The 22,053-nt window shown below is 46.4% G+C and overlaps 1 protein-coding gene across 12 annotated transcripts in view, besides 2 other annotated features; it reads right to left on the minus strand.

Moving 5' to 3' along the window:
- Positions 1-22,053, minus strand: part of GAS7 (growth arrest specific 7) — a 288,001-nt gene that overhangs the window by 96,456 nt on the left and 169,492 nt on the right. For 8 of the 12 annotated variants that reach the window (NM_201433.2, XM_011524044.4, XM_047436955.1 and 5 more), the window contains one exon: positions 12,716-12,836. In NM_201433.2, coding sequence (NP_958839.1) covers positions 12,716-12,836 — 121 coding nt within the window. Of the gene's footprint in view, positions 1-12,715; positions 12,863-17,512; positions 17,531-19,088; positions 19,225-19,958; positions 19,977-22,053 lie in introns of those variants that run through there. The other 4 variants (XM_047436956.1, NM_001130831.2, XM_047436957.1 and 1 more) reach the window with 4 other exon arrangements.
- Positions 18,982-19,487: an enhancer, noted in NCBI's record as "H3K27ac-H3K4me1 hESC enhancer chr17:9929360-9929865 (GRCh37/hg19 assembly coordinates)". NCBI's record gives its function as "activates a minimal SCP1, AML or CMV promoter by ChIP-STARR-seq in naive and primed H9 embryonic stem cells {active_cell/tissue: H9 hESC(naive and primed)}" and the evidence as "EXISTENCE:reporter gene assay evidence [ECO:0000049][PMID:30033119]".
- Positions 19,488-19,992: an enhancer, noted in NCBI's record as "H3K27ac-H3K4me1 hESC enhancer chr17:9929866-9930370 (GRCh37/hg19 assembly coordinates)". NCBI's record gives its function as "activates a minimal SCP1, AML or CMV promoter by ChIP-STARR-seq in primed H9 embryonic stem cells {active_cell/tissue: H9 hESC(primed)}" and the evidence as "EXISTENCE:reporter gene assay evidence [ECO:0000049][PMID:30033119]".

Raw genomic sequence — 22,053 nt, forward strand, 5'->3', positions numbered from 1 at the left:
ATTTGTTCTTCAACTTAATCATATTTGACTATGCCTCCACCATTTTATTATTACACAGTGTCCTTGCAAATAAAAATAGGTGGTGACTGTTAGAAAACTTTGAAAAATATAAAGTTGACATTTTTTCTCTTTCCAAATAGATTCTGAAGGTCTGTGATAGAATCTGCGTATTGTTTTGTTTTTTAAACAAACTCAATTTCCGAGGTATTTCTGACACCCACCAAAGTTTGGCAATCAGACAGAAAGACTCCCTAACCAAGACGTCTAAAGAATGGTTTCTAGGCCGGGCACGGTGGCTCATGCCTGTATTCCCAGCACTTTGAGAGGGTGAGGCTGGTGGATCACCTGAGGTCAGGAGTTTGAGACCAGTCTGGCCAACATGGTGAAATCCCATCTCTACTAAAAATACAAAATTAGCCAGGCGTGGTGGTGGGCACCTGTAATCCCAGCTACTCGGGAGGCTGAGGCAGGAGAAATCCCTTAGAACCCGGGAGGCAGAGGTTGCAGTGAGCTGAGATCGCACCACTGCACTCCAGCCTGGGAGACACAGCAAGATTCTGTCTCAAAAAAAAAAAAAAAAAAAAAAAAAGAACAGTTTCTAAAGGATGCCAAGAAAGTCATAAACGCCCACCATGCCCACACAAGCCTGTTTTTAATGACACTTTTATTGCAATATAATTCACATATCATTATATTCTCCCTCTAAAAGCATATAATATAATGGTTTTTGGTGTAGTTGCAGAGTTGTATAACCTGCACCACTACCTAATTTTAAAACATTTTTATTGTCTCAAAAAGAAACCCTGTACCCATCAGCAGTCACTCGCCATTAATTCCAGCTCCCCCCCGCAACCACCAGGGTGGTTTTCTGTGGATTTCTCTATTCTAGGCGTTTCATATAAACAGAATCATATGGCACACGGCTTTTTGTGTCTAGCTTCTTTGACTTACTGTGATGTTTTCAAGGTTCATCCACGTTGTAGCATGTATCAGCCAGCACCTTCATTCCTTTTTATGGCTGAATAATATACCATTGTATGGCTAAAACCACATTTTGTTTATCCATTCATCAGTTGATGGGCATTTTGGTTGCTGCTGGCCATAATAAATAATGCTCCTCTGAACTGAGCATGCATGCACACTTTTTGTGTGGACGTGTGTTTCTAATTTTCTTGGGTATACAGCTAGGAGTGGAATATTCTGGGTCACTGAATATTCTAGAAGATTTCTGGATCCTATTCTACACATTTGTTTTTGTTCCACTTCCATATCTGAACCACATGCTGCTAATCACTGACTCCAGCTAACAGACAGTGAGGAACGCTCTCACACTGTTTACCAGTAAACAGTCTTGCAAAGTAACTCAACTTCCTAGAATAGAGCAAACAACAAAATCTGTCTCTTTTGTCTTTTTACTTGTGTGGGTCTTCAACTTCATACTAGCAGTGTGACTGACTTTAAGCCACTTGGCATTTGCCACAAATGGGAGATTATTGGCCTTAAACACTGGTGAAAAATGAGGGGTGTGTTATGCACGTAAGTATTACCTAAACATTACATGTTAGAACGGATATCCTGGAAGAGAAAACAAAACCCACACCAAAGCGGATTAATAGGAAGCTTTAAGCTCTAACAGCCTTCCACTAAGAATCCATTAAAGAAAAATAATAAAGCCAAAATTAGGCTTTATATAAATTAGGCTGGCGCTCTCTCTCTCTCTCTCTCACACACACACGCACACACGCACACGCACGCAACCCTAATTTAATCAACCAAATGTACCACATGCACATCTTTTTAGTCTCACATTTGCTCAACACAGATGGACAGAAAAAAATAGATGTATGTTTTTGGGTACAGAACCTTCTCAGAGGAACTTTTATTAACACGGAATTATCAGGGCCATTCATTCTATTTGGGGAGTTAGAAAAGGATCCAATTATTTGTAACAAAGAAAAGTTAAAAGTGTTCTACTGGGGCCGGGCGCGGTGGCTCACGCCTGTAATCCCAGCACTTTGGGAGGCCGAGGCGGGCGGATCACGAGGTCAGGAGATCGAGACCATCCCGGCTAAAACGGTGAAACCCCGTCTCTACTAAAAATACAAAAAAATTAGCCGGGCGTAGTGGCGGGCGCCTGTAGTCCCAGCTACTTGGGAGGCTGAGGCAGGAGAATGGCGTGAACCCGGGAGGCGGAGCTTGCAGTGAGCCGAGATCCCGCCACTGCACTCCAGTCTGGGCGACAGAGCGAGACTCCGTCAAAAAAAAAAAAAAAAAAGTGTTCTACTGGAAAACTTATCCAGAAACTCACATTAGTTCCTGGCATAATAAAGTTAAATGGGAATCCACTCATTTAAAGAAAAATTAAAGCAAGAAATCAAGAAAATTACTATTTGGCAAAGGAATCCAAAAGCTCACATCCTGGTTTAGTCCTCCAAGCTTCGCTCACAAACATAACACATTTATAGATATAGATCTATAAATCTATAGAGCTTAAAAGCCTGAGTGTGGTACTCATGCCTGTAATCCCAACATTTTGGGAGGCCAAGATAGGAGGATTGCTTGAGCCCGGAGTTCAAGACCAGCCTGGGCAATATAGCAAGACCCCTTCTCAAAAAAAAAAAAAAAAAACCAAACAAAAAATAAAACACTTTTTTTTTTCCAGTAGCCTGGTGTGGTGACATATGCCCATGGTCCCAGCTACTTGGAAGGCTAAGGTGGAAGGATTACTTGAGCCCAGGAAGTCAACTAAAAAAATAAAATAAAATAAAAAAGCTTAAAAACAATTTTCAACTCTCCTGGACTTGGGTTCATGCTTTAAAAAGATGCATAGGTTTCCCTTAAAAAATTGTTATTTCAGATTATTTTTCTTTATCTACTAATCCACAAACTCAGTTATTCTCATTCCAACTTAAGTCACTGCCACCCATGCCCATTCCTCCAAATACTGAGGCAAAAAAGAAAAGATTAGAAGACTGGGCAGTCTGGTCACAGCTTGGCTTATAAATGACCAGATAGCTTGGATCAAGTCCCTTTACCATGCAGGGACTTCATTTCTATATATGTAAAACAAACAGGTTCTATTTCTTTTTTTTTTTCTTTCTTTTTTGGGGGGGCGTCTCCCTCTGTTGCCCAGGCTGGAGTGCAGTGGCGTGATCTTGGCTCACTGCAAGCTCCACCTCCTGGGTTCACGCCATTCTCCTGCCTCAGCCTCCCGAGTAGCTGGGACTTACAGGCACCCGCCACCACGCCGGGCTAAATTTTTGTGTTTTTTTAGTAGAGACAGGGTTTCACCGTGTTAGCCAGGATGGTCTTGATCTCCTGACCTGGTGATCCGCCCGCCTCAGCCTCCCAAAGTGCTGGGTTTACAGGCATGAGCCACCGCGCCCAGCCTGATTCTATTTCTTAAACCAGGTATTGTCAAACTTTTTCTGTTAAGGGTCAGAGAGTAAATATTTTCACTTTGTGAGCCACGTGGTCTCTGCTGCAACTACAGATACCCTCAACTTATGACAGGGCTATATACTGAGAAACCCATTGTAACTTGCAAATATTGTATGTCAAAAATGCATGTATTACACCTAAACTACTGAATACTATAGCTTCGCCTCACCTACCTTAGACGTGCCCAGAACACTTCCGTTAGCCTACAGTTGGGCAAAATCATCTATCATAAAGCCTATTTTGTAGTGAAGTGTTATACATCTCTTGTAATTTATTGAATACTGAACTAAAGTACAGTTTCTAGTGAATGAGTATCACTTTTACACCAAGTCAGATCGTTAAGTCCAACCATTTTAAGTTGGAGACAGCTTGTACTCAGCTCTACAATCTCCGTGCAAAACCAGCCATAGACAATATGTAAACAAAAGGGCATGGCTGTGTTCCAATAAAGAAAGCTTCATTTACAAAAACAGCTGTGAGTTGAATTTGGCCCATAGGCCACAGTTTGCCAACCCCTGAGTTAGAGGATTTAGAAGTTTCCTCCTAGGATGATTATGAAGCAAAATCACTAGCCTCTGCAACCCACTTTTATGAAAGATCAAGTTATCAAGGTCTGAGGGTGGAAACAGATGTTCACCACAGCACTCAGTTCTAGGAGAGTCTCTGCCTAGGGACACAGGCACTGGACTCTTCATAGTTCCATCAACAGCCACCTTCTGTTTTGCTTGGTACCTCACTCATGCTCTGCTGACCACTGCCTTGGGCTTGGATGAAGCATCACTCTGCATGGTGGAATCTGGCTTTCTGAGAGCTTGGTAGGAGTCAGATGGTACAAACCAAATGTGTAGGGAAATAGCTGTGCAAGGGGAGGGGCTTGGCCAGTGTGAAATAGGAGACAAGACAGAGGTGAGTAGATAAAACATCTCTGCTTTCCTGCAGACTACTCCAGGCTACGGCTCCTCCTTGCAGCCCTTCCAGAAGTGAACATATCCACTAAGTGACCGGCTGGGACTCTGCATTTCACTGTCAAACACCAGCCAGCATCACTTGGCATTGTTCTTTGGCTTTCCTTCCCTTGCATACCTACCCTCACCACTTTGTACTGATACCTCCTAAATAAGGTGTTAACACTCAATCCTTGCATCAGGCTCTGCTTTATAGTGGGGGAGAAAGGGTTAAGATACCATCTCAAGGCCGGGTGCGGTGGCTCATGCCTGTAATCCCAGCACTTTGGGAGGCCGAGGCGGGTGGATCACCTGAGGTCGGAAGTTCGAGACCAGCCTGACCAACATGGAGAAACCCCGTCTCTACTAAAAATACAAAATTAGCCAGGCGTGGTGGCACATGCCTGTGGTCCCAGCTACTAGGGAGGCTGAGGCAGGAGAATCGCTTGAACCTGGGAGGTGGAGGTTGTGTGGGCCGAGATTGCACCATTGCACTCCAGCTTGGGCAACAAGAGTGAAACTCCATCTCAAAAAAAAAAAAAACAAAAGATACCATCTCAAATGGTACTCTTTGTTTAAAAAAAAAGAATGGCACAGATAAAACTACTGGATTTAGAGTATAAAAAGATTAATAAATAAGAAGTAAAATCTTGACTAATACATTAAACTAAACTAATCTTGGCCATCTATCTATACTGGCTTCAAATATCCCTAATGTCCAAATGGTAAAATGTATCCTAAACATATCTAAAAGGTCAGCATCTCTCCAAAAAGAGGGCCTGAATACCTATGACTATATTAAGTGAAGAAGCATGCATGCCTGGCCTTCCAGTTATATTTTTATTTTATTTATTTATTTGAGACAGTGGCTTGCTCTGTCACCCAGGCTGGAGAGCAATGGTGTGATTTCGGTTCATTGCAACCTCTGCCTCCTGGGCTCAAGTGATCCTTCCACCTCAGCCTCCCAAGTAGCTGGGACTACAGGTGTGCGCCACCACACCCGGCTAATTTTTGTATTTTTAATAGAGACGGGGTTTCACCATGGTCCCCAGGCTGGTCTTGAGCTCCTGGGCTCAAGTGATCTGCCCACCTCGGCTTCCCAAAGTGCTGGATTACAGGTGAGAGCCACCACACCCAGCCGACCTTTCAATCATAAATGGAGCAAAAAATGTTGTGCTATATCTCTTGAAATATAATTATTTGTTGTATAAATAAGAGGTCCCTGTCGTGGTCTGAATGTTTGTGTCCCCTCCAAATTCACGTGTTGAAACCTAATTCCCCATGTGCCAGTATGAAGCGGCGGCACTTTTAGGAGGTGACTAAGTCATGCAGGCTCCACCATCATGGGGTTAGTGCCATTAAAAGAGAAACCCAGGCAGGGCGCGGTGGCTCACGCCTGTAATCCCAGCACCTTGGGAGGCCGAGGCAGGTGAATCACGAGATCAGGAGATCGAGACCATCCTGGCTAACACTGTGAAACCCCGTCTCTACTAAAAAATACAAAAAATTAGCCGGGCGTGGTGGCGGGCACTTATAGTTCCAGCTACTCGGGAGGCCGAGGCAGGAGAATCGCTTGAATCCAGGAGATGGAGGTTGCAGTGAGCCGAGATCGTGCCACTGCACTCCAGCCTGGGTGACAGACCGAGACTCTGTCTCAAAAAAAAAAAAAAAAAAATTAAAAAAAGAGAAACCCAGAGGATCTTGTTTGTCCTTTCCACCACGTCAGAATGCAGCTGTTCTTATGAACCAGAAAGCAGGCCCACACCCGACACCAAATCTGCCAGCACCTTGATCCTGGACTTCCCATCCTCCTGAACTGTGATAAATAAATTTCCATTGTTTATAAGTCATCCAGTCTATGGCTTTTTGTTAGTGCAGCCTGCACAGACTAAGACAGTCTCCTTAACACTAGCTGAGGTCCCTGGATGGGGTAGGCTATTGATAATAGCTCACTATCCCAAACCGTTAGCAACACAGGCAACTTTTGGTGGGAATGGAGAGCTTCCCTGGACAGCACAAGACAAGCAATTTCCTGATACCAAAACCCTGGGAGTTCCTGGGGCTGAACTGAAGGCCACTCTGCATGATGAAATTTCCAGAGAGCCACAAGAAAGATGGGGACTTCCCAAAGTCCACGGAGCATGCTCTGATGGCATTGGCAAGTTTATATGAAAGCAACGGCATTACTGCATTAACCACTGAAACTTCCTGTTAGCCATCTGGCCCAACGCCGTTTACTAAATAATCCATGCTTTCCCCAGTGATTTAAAACAACACTCTTATCATAAACCTGATCTATATTTCAGTCTGTCCCTGACTACCCCTCCCTATCTATTCTCCCTTGCCTTTGATGACATTACCTTCTCCTGGATTCCTTGTATCTCTGACAATTCCTTCAAGGTCTCCTTGGCTGCTGCCTTACACCTGTGCTGCAAGGCCCCGGGTGATCTTCTACATCCTCATCACTTCACCTCTCTGCTGATGAAACACAAATCCTGGGCCACCCTCTGTGGCTGGGCAGGTTGGTCACTGCGCAACAGTGGCCAGGCCATGTACCCACATGGCTCACCAAGTTCCCATCTCTAGCTCAGAAGTCCTCTAAGTCACACCGTAGCCATCCAAATGCCAGCCATCTCTCCCAGAACGCACCCCAGGGAACCACACACTCAGCATGGACTCATTTTTCTTTCTTCCTAACCTGTTCCTCCCTTGAATACCCTATACTCACTGTATGGTCCCATCACACAAGGCAGAAAACCCGGAGGAATCCAGGCACTTCCAATCCCTGACCTGCCACAGCCACATCCTGTCTGACAGATTCTACCTCCTCCTCTCCAGCCACTGCTGTAGAATTGGTGTTTGACCTCATTATTTCTCCTCTCATTTAGTCTGTCGGCCTCCACGCTTACCGGCCTTAAAGCCTTCGCTCTGCCGCACAAGCAGCCTTGCCACAATATTCTGATCATGTCACGCCACCGCCTGGAAATTTCCCATGGATTCCCGCTGCCTACAGGATAAAGACCTGACTCCTCAAAATGCCCCAAGGCCCCTGACTCTCTCTCTCACCTCTTTCTTCCTTAACCAATGCCAAACACATCCGCTGTTTTTCTCTCCTGCCTGGTCTTTACTCATGCTGTAACCTTGGCTTGGAATGCCTGAGTCAAGGCCGCCCCCTCCCCCTGCAAAGACTTGGTTAATACCCAGATCAAGCTGACTACTCCCTTCCTCGAGCCCCCAGATTTCCACACGAATACCTGTAACACTTATAGGTTTATATGTGTCTCTGGCCCTATTAGAACTGCAGGTTCTGAGATCACAGACAGCATCTAGTTTGATTTTGGATCCCCAGAGCCCGGCTCAGTGGCTAGCACAGTGACAACCTCATCCATAAAATCCTAAATGGATGTGAAAATAAGCAGATTAGCCAGCCAGGTGCGGTGACTCACGCCTGTAATCCCAGCACTTTGGGAGGCTGAGGAGGGGTGGATCATGAGGTCAGGAAATCAAGACCATGCTGGCCAACATGGTGAAACCCTGTCTCTACTAAAAATACAAAAAAATAGCTGGGTGTGGTGGCGCATGTCTGTAATCCCAGCTACTCAGGAGGCTGAGGCAAGAGAATCGCTTGAACCGGGGAGGCGGAGGTTTCAGTGAGCCGAGATCGCACCACTGCACTCCAGTCTGGCGACAGAGCGAGACTCTGTCTCAAAAAAAAAAGAAAAGAAAAGAAAAGAAGCAGATTAGCCAAGGCAAGGTAATACAAATGTAAATTAGACTTTCAACTGGTTATAGGTGTAAAAATGGGGACAGAACACCTATTATCCCCAGGCACCCTCTGGAAAAGAAGAGATTAGGGATTAAGGGAGAAAGACTAGAAGCGTCTGGAAGAAAGGTAGACAGACAAAGAGGAAGAGAAGAATGGCCTGCTTAGAACCGGGACTGCACTTTCTGGGCACTGGGCTAGCATGTGGATGAAATGCCACCTGGAGAGCGACAGAGCAAAGATGCTTAAGCAAGGGGCCAGGCAGAAAGGCAGATAGATGCAGCTGGCCCAGCAGTGAGGAGGCACAAGCTCAGGTGCCTCCAGGAGTCAGGAGGTAAGAAAAACATGAGTGGCTATTCTCATAGATGCCTTCCTGCAGAAAGGCAGGCAGATTAAAATATATTTAAAACATCCCTACAGCCAAACAAAACAAGTCTAAGAAACGATTCCAGAGGAGAATCAGAAAGATAGCTGCTTTCCTTCTCCCTTAGACTGCCGAGCAAAATTATTAATATGATGTTCATGGGCTGCATGATCCCTACAAACACAGCTGACTCTTTGCCATCAGTAAGACACTCCCCATCCCCTAGCCCTTCCTTACCCTTCCCATCCTGCAGCTTCCTTCTCCAGGAAGCCTCCCCTGATTCCCCAGGGTCTCTCTGTGACATGCTCTTAAAACACCCTGGACTCCTGCTTCACAACCCTTTCCTGATTGATCAAATAGGTTTTCACTTAAAATCTGTTCCCACTATAAGAAGATAAACACTTGCAGGGCAGAGACTTTGTTCTTATTAAATCCCCAGTATCCCAAGACTCACTCTGCCTGGTACATATTTGAGGCTCAAACTATGTGTTGAAGGAATGATTCAATCAAACAGATAAACAATAAGTTAAGGTCGGGCACGGTGGCTCACGCCTGTAATGCCAGTACTTTGGGAGGCCGAGGCAGGCGGATCACAAGGCCAGGAGATCGAGACCACCCTGGCTAACACGGTGAAACCCCATCTCTACTAAAAATACAAAAAATTAGCCAGGTGTGGTGGCAGGCACCTGTAGTCCCAGATACTTGGGAGGCTGAGGCAGGAGAATGGCATGAACCCGGGAGGCGGAGCTTGCAGTGAGCCGAGATCGCGCCACTGCAGTCCAGCCTGGGTGAAAGAGCGAGACTCCGTCTCAAAAAAAAAAAAAAAAAAAGAGTTAAACAAGTAATGAATAAAACTGGCATATATCTAGAATGTAAGACCAAGGTAGGTGCTGGAATTATTTTTAGCATAAAAGAGGAGAGAGCCGAGCACGGTGGCTCATGCCTATAATCTCAGCACTTTGGGAAGCAGAAGTAGAAGCCAGAAGTTCGGGATCAGCCTAGGCAACATACTGAAACCCTGTCTCTACCAAAAAAAAAAAAAAAAAAAAAACAAAACAAAAAAAACTGTTTTTAGGCATAGTGTAATCCCAACACTGTGGAAGGTCAAGGCCAGTAGATTACTTGAGGCCAAGAATTCAAGACCAGCCTGGGTAACATGGCAAAACATCTCTACAAAAAATAATAATAATAATAATAATAATAATAATAATAATAATAATAATACAAAAAGCCAGGTGTGGTGGCACATGCCTGTAATCCCAGCTACTCAGGAGGCTGAGGTGGGAGGGTCACTTAAGCCCAGGAAGTTAACGCTGCAGTGAGCCATGATCGTGCCACTGCACTCTAGCCTGGGCAACAGAGTGAGACCCTGTCTCAAATAAATAAAAAATATAAAAAAATAAAGAAATCAGCCGGGCGTGATGACACATGCCTGCAATCCCAGCTACTCAGGGGGCTGAGATGGGAGGAGTGTTTGAGCCCAGGAGGTTGAGGCTGCAGTGAGCCATGATTGTGCCACTGTACTCTAGCCTGGGCAACAGAGTGAGACCCTGTCTAAAAAAATAAATAAATAAATAAATAAATAAATAAATAAATAAATAAATAAAGAGAGGAAGGGCAAATAGGACAAGTCCTTGTGGAGCCAACAGACAGCCTGAAGCAGGGACCAGCAGCTATGGTCCAAGGGACCAACTGGTCAAACCAACTATCATATGGCCCAGTGAACTTGCCAACGAAAATCATCTTCCACTTTTTTTTTTTTTTTTCCTTGAGACAGACGGAGTCTTGCTCTGTCACCAGGCTGGAGTGCAATGGCGTGATCTCGGCTCACTGCAACTTCCACCTCACGCGTTCAAGCGATTCTCCTGCCTCAGCCTCCCGGGTAGCTGGGACTACAGGCGCCCGCCACCACACCCGGATAATTTTGATATTTTTAGTAGAGACGGGGTTTCACCATGTTGGTCAGGCTTGTCTGGAACTCCTGACCTCAAGTGATCCACCTGCCTCGGCCTCCCAAAGTGCTGGGATTACAGGCATGAGCCACCATGCCTGGCCAGAACGATGATATTTTATAACACACACAAGTCATCTGAAATTCCTATTTTCGGATCCATAGATAAAGTCTTATTGGAACACAGCTACACTCATTTGTTTACCTATCATCCAGGGCTGCTTTCATGCTGAAACAGTAAAGCTGAGTGGCTGGGATGGAGACCATGTGACCCTCAAAGCCTACATACTGACTACTTGGCCCTTTACAGAAAAAGTTCACTGACCCCTGGCCTGGAGCCTCTGTGGGATCACAATATCTCAGGACCCATAAGAAAGCTGTCACCAGTGGCATCTGCTAAAGTCTGAGTCCCAGAAAAAAGCTGCCAGACACTGTCTATTGATATAAAATATGACTTAAATTAATAGAGTGCAGGTGAAATTAATAGCATACCCATGCGATGGATTACTACACAGCTGTTTAAAAGAATGGGTTAGACTGAAATGTACAAAGTATAGAAAGATGTCCACATACACTGTCAAAGTAACTTAAAGGACAACATAGACAATATTTTCCAATTTATTTTAAAAGAATAAGTATACATATGTTTAAAAGGTGAGACCGGGGATTATTTTTTATTTGAAATCATTTTGTACTTACTGAATTTTTTACCGTGAAAACAAACTAGTCTCTAACTTAAAAAAAGATAAAGATGCTGAAATTCAGAAAGCCATTTCCCCCCATGCCCCTTTGCAATAGAGTAGCTTATTTGGGACAATAACGGATCCAAATTATTCATATCCCCTAGCAACCTGACCTTCCAATAATTTGGATCCAATGTTGTCCCAAATAATTGATGATCTCATGATCCTACGGTCCAAATTCTGTGTTTGGCAGATGGGTGTTGCATACATAGACACACTCTCCTCTGAAATTTCAAGTCTCCGGTAACAGTGCAAAGCTGTTCATGTGTTTGTTTTGAGGAAGTGTAAGATTAGAACGGTCAGAAATAGTCCTACTTCCCTTTTCCTAGAAACTTCATTACCTCTTGCGCTAGAACACCCCTCTTGAGCCTGTGGAAGGTCAGGTTGCCAGGGGATACGAATAAACCAGCTGCCTTCTTTGTGTCTCTGCTAAACAGTAGCTGGCTCCCCTGTCACTAGGACCCCCTCCTGGTGCAGGCTTATAAACATCAGCTGTAGTAACGATACCCCCAGGTGGGAAGGGGTGGTCATGTAGTCAGGCAGGCACAGAGGAGTGAGAGGCCAAGGCTGAGCCAGCAGTGGACTTGGGTACGATTTTCATCTTTTGCCTTGGAACGCATGTCTGTGATTCCCACTAAATCTAACTTTCCTTGGTTTAAATCCTCTCAGTTCTCTCATGGCAATTTCTCTGGGGAGTCACGGAGGTCAAGACACAGCTCTGTTCAGCTGGTTTACCCTGTCCTGCCCTGCCCAAGACCACAGCCTGCAACAGTGCCCTTTGCTCACCTTGTTACAGAACCTGCCACGTGGTGCATCCCCTTTTATAAACCATCCACAGCAAACTTCTGGGGATCCTGGGGTCATTTGAAGGCCTGGGAGGTCCCTAATTATTGGGGTCATTGAGGTGTGGTCCTATTCAACTCAGATGCACATGGAACCTGTACTATTTGATGGGATAAATAACCCATAAGCACCCCCGGCATTTCCCAAAAAACATCTGGAGAAATGCCAGCCAGTGAGATACTTAAGGAAAAAGATGACGTTGTAGTGAAATTAGGGAAACCTCGCATTTGCAACCCCTGTATTGAAGCTTCAAGATCATTAAAACCTTCAAAATTCCAAGACATCATGCAGTGACTTTGCCTCGTTCATTTTATTCAAGCCAGCTGTTGACCATAGAACCTTTTGAGACACCCTTCAGAAAACCCAGCCCCAGACGAACAGGTTGGGTTTAACACAGATACCCAGGGTGGACGTCAGGGTCCAAGGAAGACTCAAACCATAAAGGGCAGCCTTCCTTCCAAGATACTCCCAGAACTACAGACCCAGACTTGCACCCCTACCACCCAGCACAGTGGGAGGAGTAAGACTTTACTGTAGCCCCTGAGCATAGACTTAAGAAGAAAAAACCCCCAAACAGAGAGGCGAAGAAGGGAGAAAAAACGTGCCCCTCTAGAGAGCCAGAATGCCAGGGGGTTGGTGCAGGATTCTCCCCCGAGCGGGACTCACCATTGGTGGTCGTGTTGACATAGTACCGCCGGCCCTGAGGCGACAGGTAGCTCTGCCAGCCAGGTGGAAGGATGACCGTCTGGCTTTCTTCTCCCGGCGGAGGGGGGACCATTCCAGGCTTCTGTTGGAGAAGAAAGAAAAGGTCACACCCATTTGGCATTTTTGCAAGAGTTTTTAAACCAGGAAGGCAAAGGCTGATGAATTCACCCTACAGTAGCGTGACATTGGGAAGTCTGCGGCCCATAAACCCCTGAGGTCAGAGGCAGCACACACGTGACCTCCGGGGTTGCGTGAGCATGAGCAGTGAGAAGCACCTGAGCATTCAGAGCCCCTGCACAGAGGACAGCTCCTCTGGGAGCAGAGAGGAAAATGCCATTCAGCTAATGGAGCTAGACTTTCTCCACGGCCCCCTAGAAAATCACTCACGGGGTGCTGAGCTTGCAAGGGGGCCCTGTCACTCCACCACCTCCCATTGTGAAATCTGAAGCCTGAAATTCCCAGACCACGAAGCACAGCAGCAGACAAGGCCCCAGGCTTGCTGTGCAAACCTAGCAGAAGTAATTAATGCAAGTCATCCCACAGCCAGATGCAAAACATTCTATAATAATGCTGAGAATCCATGAAGAGCTGGATGGAGCTTCTCTCGCCAAGGGTCCAGATCACTCTGGCAAAAAGAACGAGGACTCGGAGACAGAGCAGACGCTGACTTCCCATTGTATGCATTTATGTGCAATTAATTCTTTTAACCATGTATAGAATTACTTTTCGTTAAAAAACAAATCAGAGAAAAATGTATATGACATACAAAGAAACTAGATATCTAGTAGACAGATGCTAAAAAAAAAACAACCATGGCCGGGCGCAGTGGCTCACGTCTGTAATCCCAGCACTTTGGGAGGCCGAGGCGGGCGGATTGCCTAAGCTCAGGAGTTCGCGACCAGCCTGGGCAACACGGTGAAACCCCACCTCTACTAAAAATACAAAAAATTAGCTAGGCGTGGTGGTGTGCGCCTGTAGTCCTAGCTACTCGGGAGGCTGAGGCAAGAGAATTGCTTGAACCTAGGAGGCGGAGGTTGCAGTGAGCAGAGATCGCACCACTGCACTCCAGCCTGGGTGACAGAGTGAGAGTCCATCTCAAAACAAACAAACAAAAATATAAAAACAAACAAACAAAAAACAGCCACGATCCCTGGGTGCTGGGATTACAGGCAATTATTATACTCTCCTTTCTACATATCTGTTCCCCCTAAATTTTCTCCCATAAACACAGAAATAAAAGTTGTTAGCTAAAGAACATTTTAAAATTAGGACAGAGAGTCCAAATTAGCCCGTAAGATTGCTGTGCCTTTTGAAGTAAATTGATTAAAATCAGAATTGTAGCCATACGAAGAGAGTAGCCATGAATTTCTCAGCAAAGCCAGGGGACTGTTCACAAACAGTAAAGGTAATCGGCTCCCAAATGTCCTCAGTATCCCCCAGCTGTGCCCATAGTGGTGGTCCCTGGTGACCCCCGCTTAGGAAAACAAGATAACAGAATGAAAGAGAGCAGCAGAGACACACAGCTCCCAGGCTACTCTCACGCTTTGTGAAGGTTGCAAAACCACGTGCCGTGGCTTCCCGTAGTGCCCTGCATGTCATTGGAGGGAACGAGTAAATCTGAGCTGCTCGGGGACTTTGAGTAAACACAGCCTCCCTTCTGCCCTCTGCGTAGCTGCGGTGTAAGTTTCACAATGCATTTTCACAACTTAATTAAAAGCTTTCCCCTATGCCCTGGACGCTCCATCTCCTACACCTGCTAACCTGCAGTGCCCGTTTGATTCCGTATGGAAGACTGTCTTCTAAGACAGCAGGAGACAGTGAGGTGGACAGCAGCCAGGATCAACACGGTGTGGCATCCCACCAGGGTCGCAGGTTGCTGTCTCACCAGCATGTCCAGTAAGCACAAGCCCACATCTGGGCAGGTTTACCTGGGCCCTCTCACTGCTTTGGACTCTCCAGGATTGGAAGATAGCCAAAATATATGCAAGACAAATAGGATTATAACAACGTGCATGTGTGCGTGTGTGTGCGTGTGCATGCGCGCGTGCATGTTGAGAGAAAGAGAAGTATCCCATGCACAGGAGATGAACATTCTGTCCAATAGGATTAGAAATAAAGTCGGCATGGGTGGGGGGTCAGGGGATTAAAACTGAGGGTTAGGGCCAGGTGCAATGTCTCACGCTTGTAATCCTAGCACTTTGGGAGGCCGAGGTGGAAGAATGGCTTGAGCCCAGGAGTTTGAGACCAGCCTGGGCAACATAGGAAGACTCCGTCTGCAAATAATTTTTAAAATTAGCCGGGTGTGGTGGCATACGCCTGTGGTCCCAGCTACTTAGGAGGCTGAGGTGGAAGGATTGCCTGAGCCTAGGAGGTTGTTGCAGTGAGCTGTGATCGCACCACTGCACTCCAGCCTGGGTGACAGAGTGAGACCCTGTCTCAAAACAAAGAACAAAAAAATACAACTACAGGCATGAGTGTTTGATGAAAGAGATTCTAGAACCAGAGGGGCAAGATGCCAGGTGTCCTCCCCTTGAGTGAAATATTCTAGTTTCTCCTTCAATCAAACATGGGAAAGCCATATTGGTACTTATCCAAATAACTTGGGAGGAAATAGGAAGGATCAAATATTGACATGGTCAGAAAAGGGGTGCAGGAGACAGGAACCCACAGGCACAGCGAAAACAGCCCTCAGGCTCAAACAGCCTTCAGTGCCAATCCTGCCTGGACCGCTTGACAGCCATGTGACCACAGGCTACTGACTCACCAGGCTATTCTCGAATCTGTGAAACGAAGGGTGATAATATGAGCCCAGTTGTGGAAGACGACGGAGAGGGTAACAATACGTAACTCAGCACCTAGGGCAGCGCCTGTCCTGAGGGATGCGCAATGAATGGGGTTTTCCACTGGAAGGGCTTCACACAGTCCGTCTACGGCGATACGGACCTCCACCCTAGCCTCACCATCCCTCTGTCTGAAATGTCAGCATCAACAGTCACTTCTCTGAGGTTTCTGTTTCCAATACTACCCGACTTGAACGGCAAACACCTGCTGGGGAGGTTAACAGCCTGAGAGCTGGCCAGTGCGTTCTGGTGAGAGGGCTGGGCAGTGAGGAGACCACTCCTTACAGGAGCTGGAGAGCCAGTGGACCCAACCTGTGAACCTCAGTGTCCCACCCAGGAAAGAGCAATAATGATGCCGTCCCTTCTCCGCAAGGCACTGATGACCACGAGGTCTCCCGCAACGAGGAAATTCAGGACCTTACAGAAGGTGGGAGGCACCCTGATACTGAGCCGTGAAGGGCCATGAGATGCTGAAAGAGGTGGGGAGGAGGGCACTGGGGCCACCAGGCCCATCTCCTAATGTGGCTGATGTGGCAAAGATGGTCTCCACATCTCCCTCCTGCAGGGCCGCACTCTGCCTCCATCTCCCGAGGCAGCCACAGTCCCATCACCTTTCTGTTCTCTTAGAAAGGAGTTCCTCCTGATGGCTGACTTTAAAAGTCAAAAGACATGGAGACAACCAGGTATAGACACAAACACCTAGAAACAAGCAGTCAGACAAAAATTGGTACATGGATGCTCACAGCAATATCATTCGTAATGGCCAAAAAGTAGAAACAACTCAAATCCCCCATCAACAGATGGATGGATAGTGTAGTACAGCCATACAATGGAATATTATTCAGAAATTAAAAAAAAAAATGGAGCCGTGATACATGCTACAACATGGATAAACCTTGAATACATTATGCTAAGTGAAAGGAGCCAGACACAAAAGACCACATATTGTATGATTTCATGCATATGAAATGCCCAGAATGGGCAGAGCCATAGAGACAGAAACAGATTTGTCTTTTCCAGAGGCCTGGGGAGGGGAGAATGGGTACACGTTTTCCCTTTGGGGTAATGACACTGTTCCGGAACTGGATCGTGGTAATGGTTGCACAATATCATGAATACATAAATATATCACTGATGGTAAATATTTTGTCATGTGTATTGTACCACAATTAAAAAAAAATTTTTTGGCTGGGCACGGTGGCTCACACCTGTAATCCCAGCACTTTGGGAGGCCAAGGTGGGTGGATTACCTGAGGTCAGGAGTTCGAGACCAGCCTGGCCAACCTGGTGAAACCCTGCATCTACTAAAAATACAAAAATTAGCTGGGCATGGTGGCAGGTGCCTGTAATCCCAGCTACTCAGGAGGCTGAGGCAGGAAAATCACTTGAACCTGGGAGGCGGAGGTTGCCGTGAGCCAAGACTGCGCCATTGTACTCCAGCCTGGGTGACAGAGTGAGACTCTGTTTCAAAAATAAAGAAAAAATAAAAAAATAAAAAAACTTTTTTCTGCCTTCTGCGAAGGCAGAAGTTAGACCTTCCTACCTTCAAGTCTTCACTTAAGGGCCAACAGCACCAGCATTACCTCACCCTTCATGGCCACAGAGGGGCAAGAGCAGCCGGCCCCCAGGCATCCAGAGGACACAGTGTGCATAACCACCCAATAATTAAGGTCTCTCTCAATCTTATTCTTCTAATTAGTTTCCTTCCAAGTTAAATCCTTCCCTTCTCTTCCTTAGTCCTGTGGCTTTTTCCCTTCAATTCTGTCAGCACTTTCCCGTGGGAACTGTACTGGAAGCAGAGGTGACACAGGCCCGGGGGCTGGGGACAGACCCCACCTGGAAGGAACAAGATCAGAGGTAGCAGGATTTGGGGTGGGGGAAAACGAAGGAAGTTCTTTCTAACTCAGAAATTCTTTACCTAATACAGGGTGTCTTTGTGGGAATAATAAAACGCGGCCTCTTCCTCTGGAAGGGACCATCCCTTGGCCAGATTGCAAGGACAGGCTTCAGTCCCTCTCCATCCACCCTCACCTGGGCCTCCTTGTTCAGTAGGCAACCTGCTCAATGATATATATGGAAAGAGCATCCTTTAAGAATCTGAGGAAGGCTATGGATCTTCTGTCCCCTAAAATGGGTGCACATACACACACACGCTATTTCATAAGTAATATCAGGAGGTTTCTACACTACTTCAGAACCCTACTCTAGAAAGGACTCGAGAAATATCTGAGCCCAGGTCCATCTGTACCCATCGATAATGACTTTTTACCAGTCACCAAATATCTATAATGCATGCCAGACTGGACTGGGTGCTTTAGACAATCAGCTACTCGTCACAACAAGCCTGCCTCATAGATGGCATTTATCCCCGCTTTAAAACAAGGCATCTGAGACGCAGAGAGTTTAATAACTTGCCCAGTGTGGCACGGTTAATGGTAAAAACAAACTGCTTAAAAATATCAGCTGGCGAGATGCAGTGACTCATGCCTGTAATCCCAGTGTTTTGGGAGGCCGAGGCAGGAGGATTGCTTGAGGCCAGGAGTTCAAGGGCAGCCTGGGCAATGGAGCAAGACCCCATCTCTACACAAAATTAATTAATTAATTAATTAAAATAATAGCTTTGTTCTAGAGACTTCTATCCAGTTACCTTAAAGTTGGGCCACATCTCTCCCCAGCTACACCTACTCAGCTCCATTTCCTCACTGAGACCACCTGACACCCCAGCTCCTTCCCAAGGAGGATGACAACTCAAGCCTGATCCTCCTGTCTCCCAGTCCCCAAGTGAGCATATGATGTGCAAAAATATCACCGCCCGCGTCCAGGCCGTCACGTTCCCTAGCTGTAGGCTGACTTCCTTGTCTCTTTATTTAAAAAAACAACGCAACCCCCAAAATTTTCCCCTTAATGGTGGCTACTGATTCCTCCTTTAAAAAAAAAAAAAAGCAGGCAAGCAAAGTCACCCAGAGATTACAGAGATCAAAAACAAATCCCCCCACAGCAGTGTTTTTCAAAGTATGGTCACCGTGGGCCACCCCAGCAGTCACCTGGGATGTGAGTTCAAGTGCACACTCTGGGGCCTGACTCAATCTCCAGAGCAGCCTGGGAGGCTGCATTTGTCACAGTGATCCTGGGTGAGTCCTGTGCTCTAAAGCCACTCCGTTGCAGCATTAGAGGCAGCAACTGAGAAAAAACATCACTTCTGAAATGAAAACTGAGATCATAGAATTTTTATAAGCATGATTTGTAAAAAGACAGTGTTGGGCTGCACAGTGACTTATTAAAGAAAAAGATTCTGTTCCATTGCCCCAAACCCTTCAAATAAACTATTTAACAGACGGTGGAGGTTGTCTCTGCAGCCTCCAGGCAGTACAGACCCTGCTACTCCGCTCCCTACCGCTCCCACCATGCTTCAAGCTCAAGTTCAACCCGGATGCCACCTCCACCTCCGGGACTCTCTCCCCCTCCGGAGGTTTCTGAGAACACCTGACTCTTACCTTATCCTAAAGCCGTGAGCAAACGCTACTCGCTGGTGTTAATGGGTGGTCGTCAGACACTCGCTTTAGCAGCCAGATCAGACGGTTTTAAGGTCTCCCACTCTGCATCCTCTCACACCCCAAACCCAGAAGCAATAGGAGCTCTAAAGAAAAGCATATCCACAGGGCCCCACACCCCCACTCCCCCCACACCCAGATCTATATATAACAGCTCTGAAGTTGTCAGCCTAACGAGCCACTTTCTGGCAGACCCGTTGCTATGGCAATGCTTGCTAATGAGCCCAGTGCCGTGATTGGCACTGCTTGAAGGCTCCTCCACAAAGGACTCTCCAGCAAGTTCTCTCTTCCCCAACCACGGAGGCAGCTGGACACCCAGAAGCAGCCAGGGCATGGCTGGGCACGCCTGGGAAGGTTGAGTCCCGGAGTAGTCCTGGACTCAGCAGCCAGGAGTGGCCCCACTGCCAGCTCTGCACTCCTCAGGGAGTCAACCAATTACTAATGGGGCTGCCAGAGCCCACCAGGAAGATCAAGACCCAGCAGGGCTGGAGACTGGCAATTCACTCCCACGTCATGCCTTCCTGGTGGACACCTGTTTAGGTGGGCAGACTCCTACACAGAGCTGGGAACAGCTACCCGAGAAGGATACTCTCCTCCAGCTCTGGGTTAAGACACAAATCATGCAACAGTGACATCACCAGCCCCAGAGTCTGTCTCTAAGAATACTGGGCGCATTTCCTGTCTCACAGGTGAAAGTATTGCGCTCCCCAACTCCAGCAGCCTTTCTAGCCATACTCAGAAATTTCAGTGCACAGAAAATAGTAGGGGACCCCTGGCAACGTCACAACACATCCTGAGGACTGCAGTCTTCACCCAGTAGTTATGCAGGAGACAGGCTGGACCCCGGCAGAGTCTTCATTTTCTTCTAAAGGTCAGAGATTCAGAGACTTGGCCTGGAAGGAGGAGGTTGGGAGAGCTGCCATATCAACAAAGAAACAGACTATAAGATTCGGGAAGACAGGGCCATGTCCCTATCCCTCTTTTCACAGCTTTAATCTCAGCACAGTGCCCAGAACAATGAATGAATGAATGAATGAATGAATGAATGAATGAGTGAATGAAAACTGAGAATTATAGTAGGAACTAGGCTTCAGAAATATTTGAGGAGGCTATTTTACCAAATAAGCAGACAGGGAATGGGAGTGGGAGTTAGAGAAAGTGTGTGTGCCCCATCTGTGAACAAATCCCAGCTCTTAATGGATCTATTGAATGGACTCTGCTATGGTTTGAATGTGTCCCCTCCAAAACTCAGGCGTTGGCAACATGGTAGGATTAAGAGGTGGGACCTTTAAGAGGTGATCAGCCCATGAGGGCGCCTCCTTCAGTGGGATTGAGGCTCTTATCAAAGCAGCTTCACGCGGTATTCACTAGCTTGTCCTTCTGCCTTCCACCATGTGAGGACACGCTATTCCTTTATCTGGCAGACACAGCAACATGGTGCCATCTTGGAGGCAGACAACAGTCCTCACCAGACAACAGAACCTGCCGACACCTTGATCTTGGAACTTCCCAGTCTCCAGAACTGTGAGGAAGTCCTGTTCTTGAGCTAGGCATCGTGGCTTGTGCCTATAATCCCAGCTACTCAGGAGGTTTGCTTGAGGCCAGGAGTTCAAGGAGAGCCTGGACAACATAGTGAGACCCCACCGCCCCTCCATCTCTCCAAAAATAAAGGTTTTTTGTTTGTTTGTTTTGTTTTTTGACGGAGTCTCACTCTGTCGCCAGGCTGGAGTGCAGTGGCACGATCTCGGCTCACTACAACCTCCGCCTCTCAGGTTTAAACAATTCTCTTGCCTCAGCCTCCCAAGTAGCTGGGATTACAGGCATGCACCACCACACCCAGCTAATTTTTGTATTTTGTTTTGTTTTGTTCTGCTTTTTAGTAGAGACGGGGTTTCACCGCGTTGGCCAGGATGGTCTCGATCTCTTGACCTCATGATCCACCCACCTTGGCCTCCTAAAGTGCTGGGATTACAGGCGTGAGCCACTGCGCCCGGCCTTAACATTTCTTTTTTTTAAATTTAGCTGTGCATGGTGGTACGCATCTGTAGCTCCAGGTACTTGAGAGGCTGAGGGGGGAGGACTGCTTGGGCCCAGGAGTTAGAGACTGCAGTAAGCTATGATTGTGCCACTGCACTCCAGCCGACAGAGTGAGATACTGTCTCAAATAAATAAATACATTCCTGTTCCTCATACATTATCTGGTCTCAGGTATTTTGTAAGAGCTGCACAAATGGGGAAGGGGGAGGCAAGATAATATGTATTGTTTATTTTATTGCAGAAAATAGATAGAGGAAGAACATCCAGAAGCCTAGAAGCCTCAAGAGAAACACAAACTTCTCATCAGGATCTCACATAGTATCCAGAAGAAACATCTCAGAAAAGTATCTAGCAACCTCAACAAAGGGCAGGAAGATATGACATTATGATACAAGAACAAAAACTCATAAGAAGAGAACAAAACAAGGCAAGTTGGTTTGAAAAAAAAAAACCAAAATGATATAAAAAAGGAACAGGAAATGATAAAAATTATAGGGAAGTTTGAAAGGTTGTAACAGAAGGAAAATGCACATTGGTTGCAATAAAACATGGAATCAATACTGCAAAACAAAGTGAATTCGTTATGTACAGAACAAACGAGAATTGTTTTTTCCCCAGAATGCAAAGGAAATGGGAAAAATGCAAACGTGAGGACAGAACAGCAAACCAAGACATGGATACTGGGTGTTCCTGAAGAGGAGACCAGCAGAAAAGCTCTAACAGAAAAGAAAGAATAAACAAAGGTTGATGGGGAGGAAAGTTCCAGAGCTGGGCCACACGGGACGTCCTACGCTGTTCAAGGCAAAGTGGATTTCAAAAAACCAACCAGCAGACATACCCTAACAACATATTTACACAGCAAAGATAAGGA

This window comes from Homo sapiens, chromosome 17 (assembly GCF_000001405.40).
Source record: "Homo sapiens chromosome 17, GRCh38.p14 Primary Assembly".
Taxonomy (NCBI): domain Eukaryota; kingdom Metazoa; phylum Chordata; class Mammalia; order Primates; family Hominidae; genus Homo; species Homo sapiens.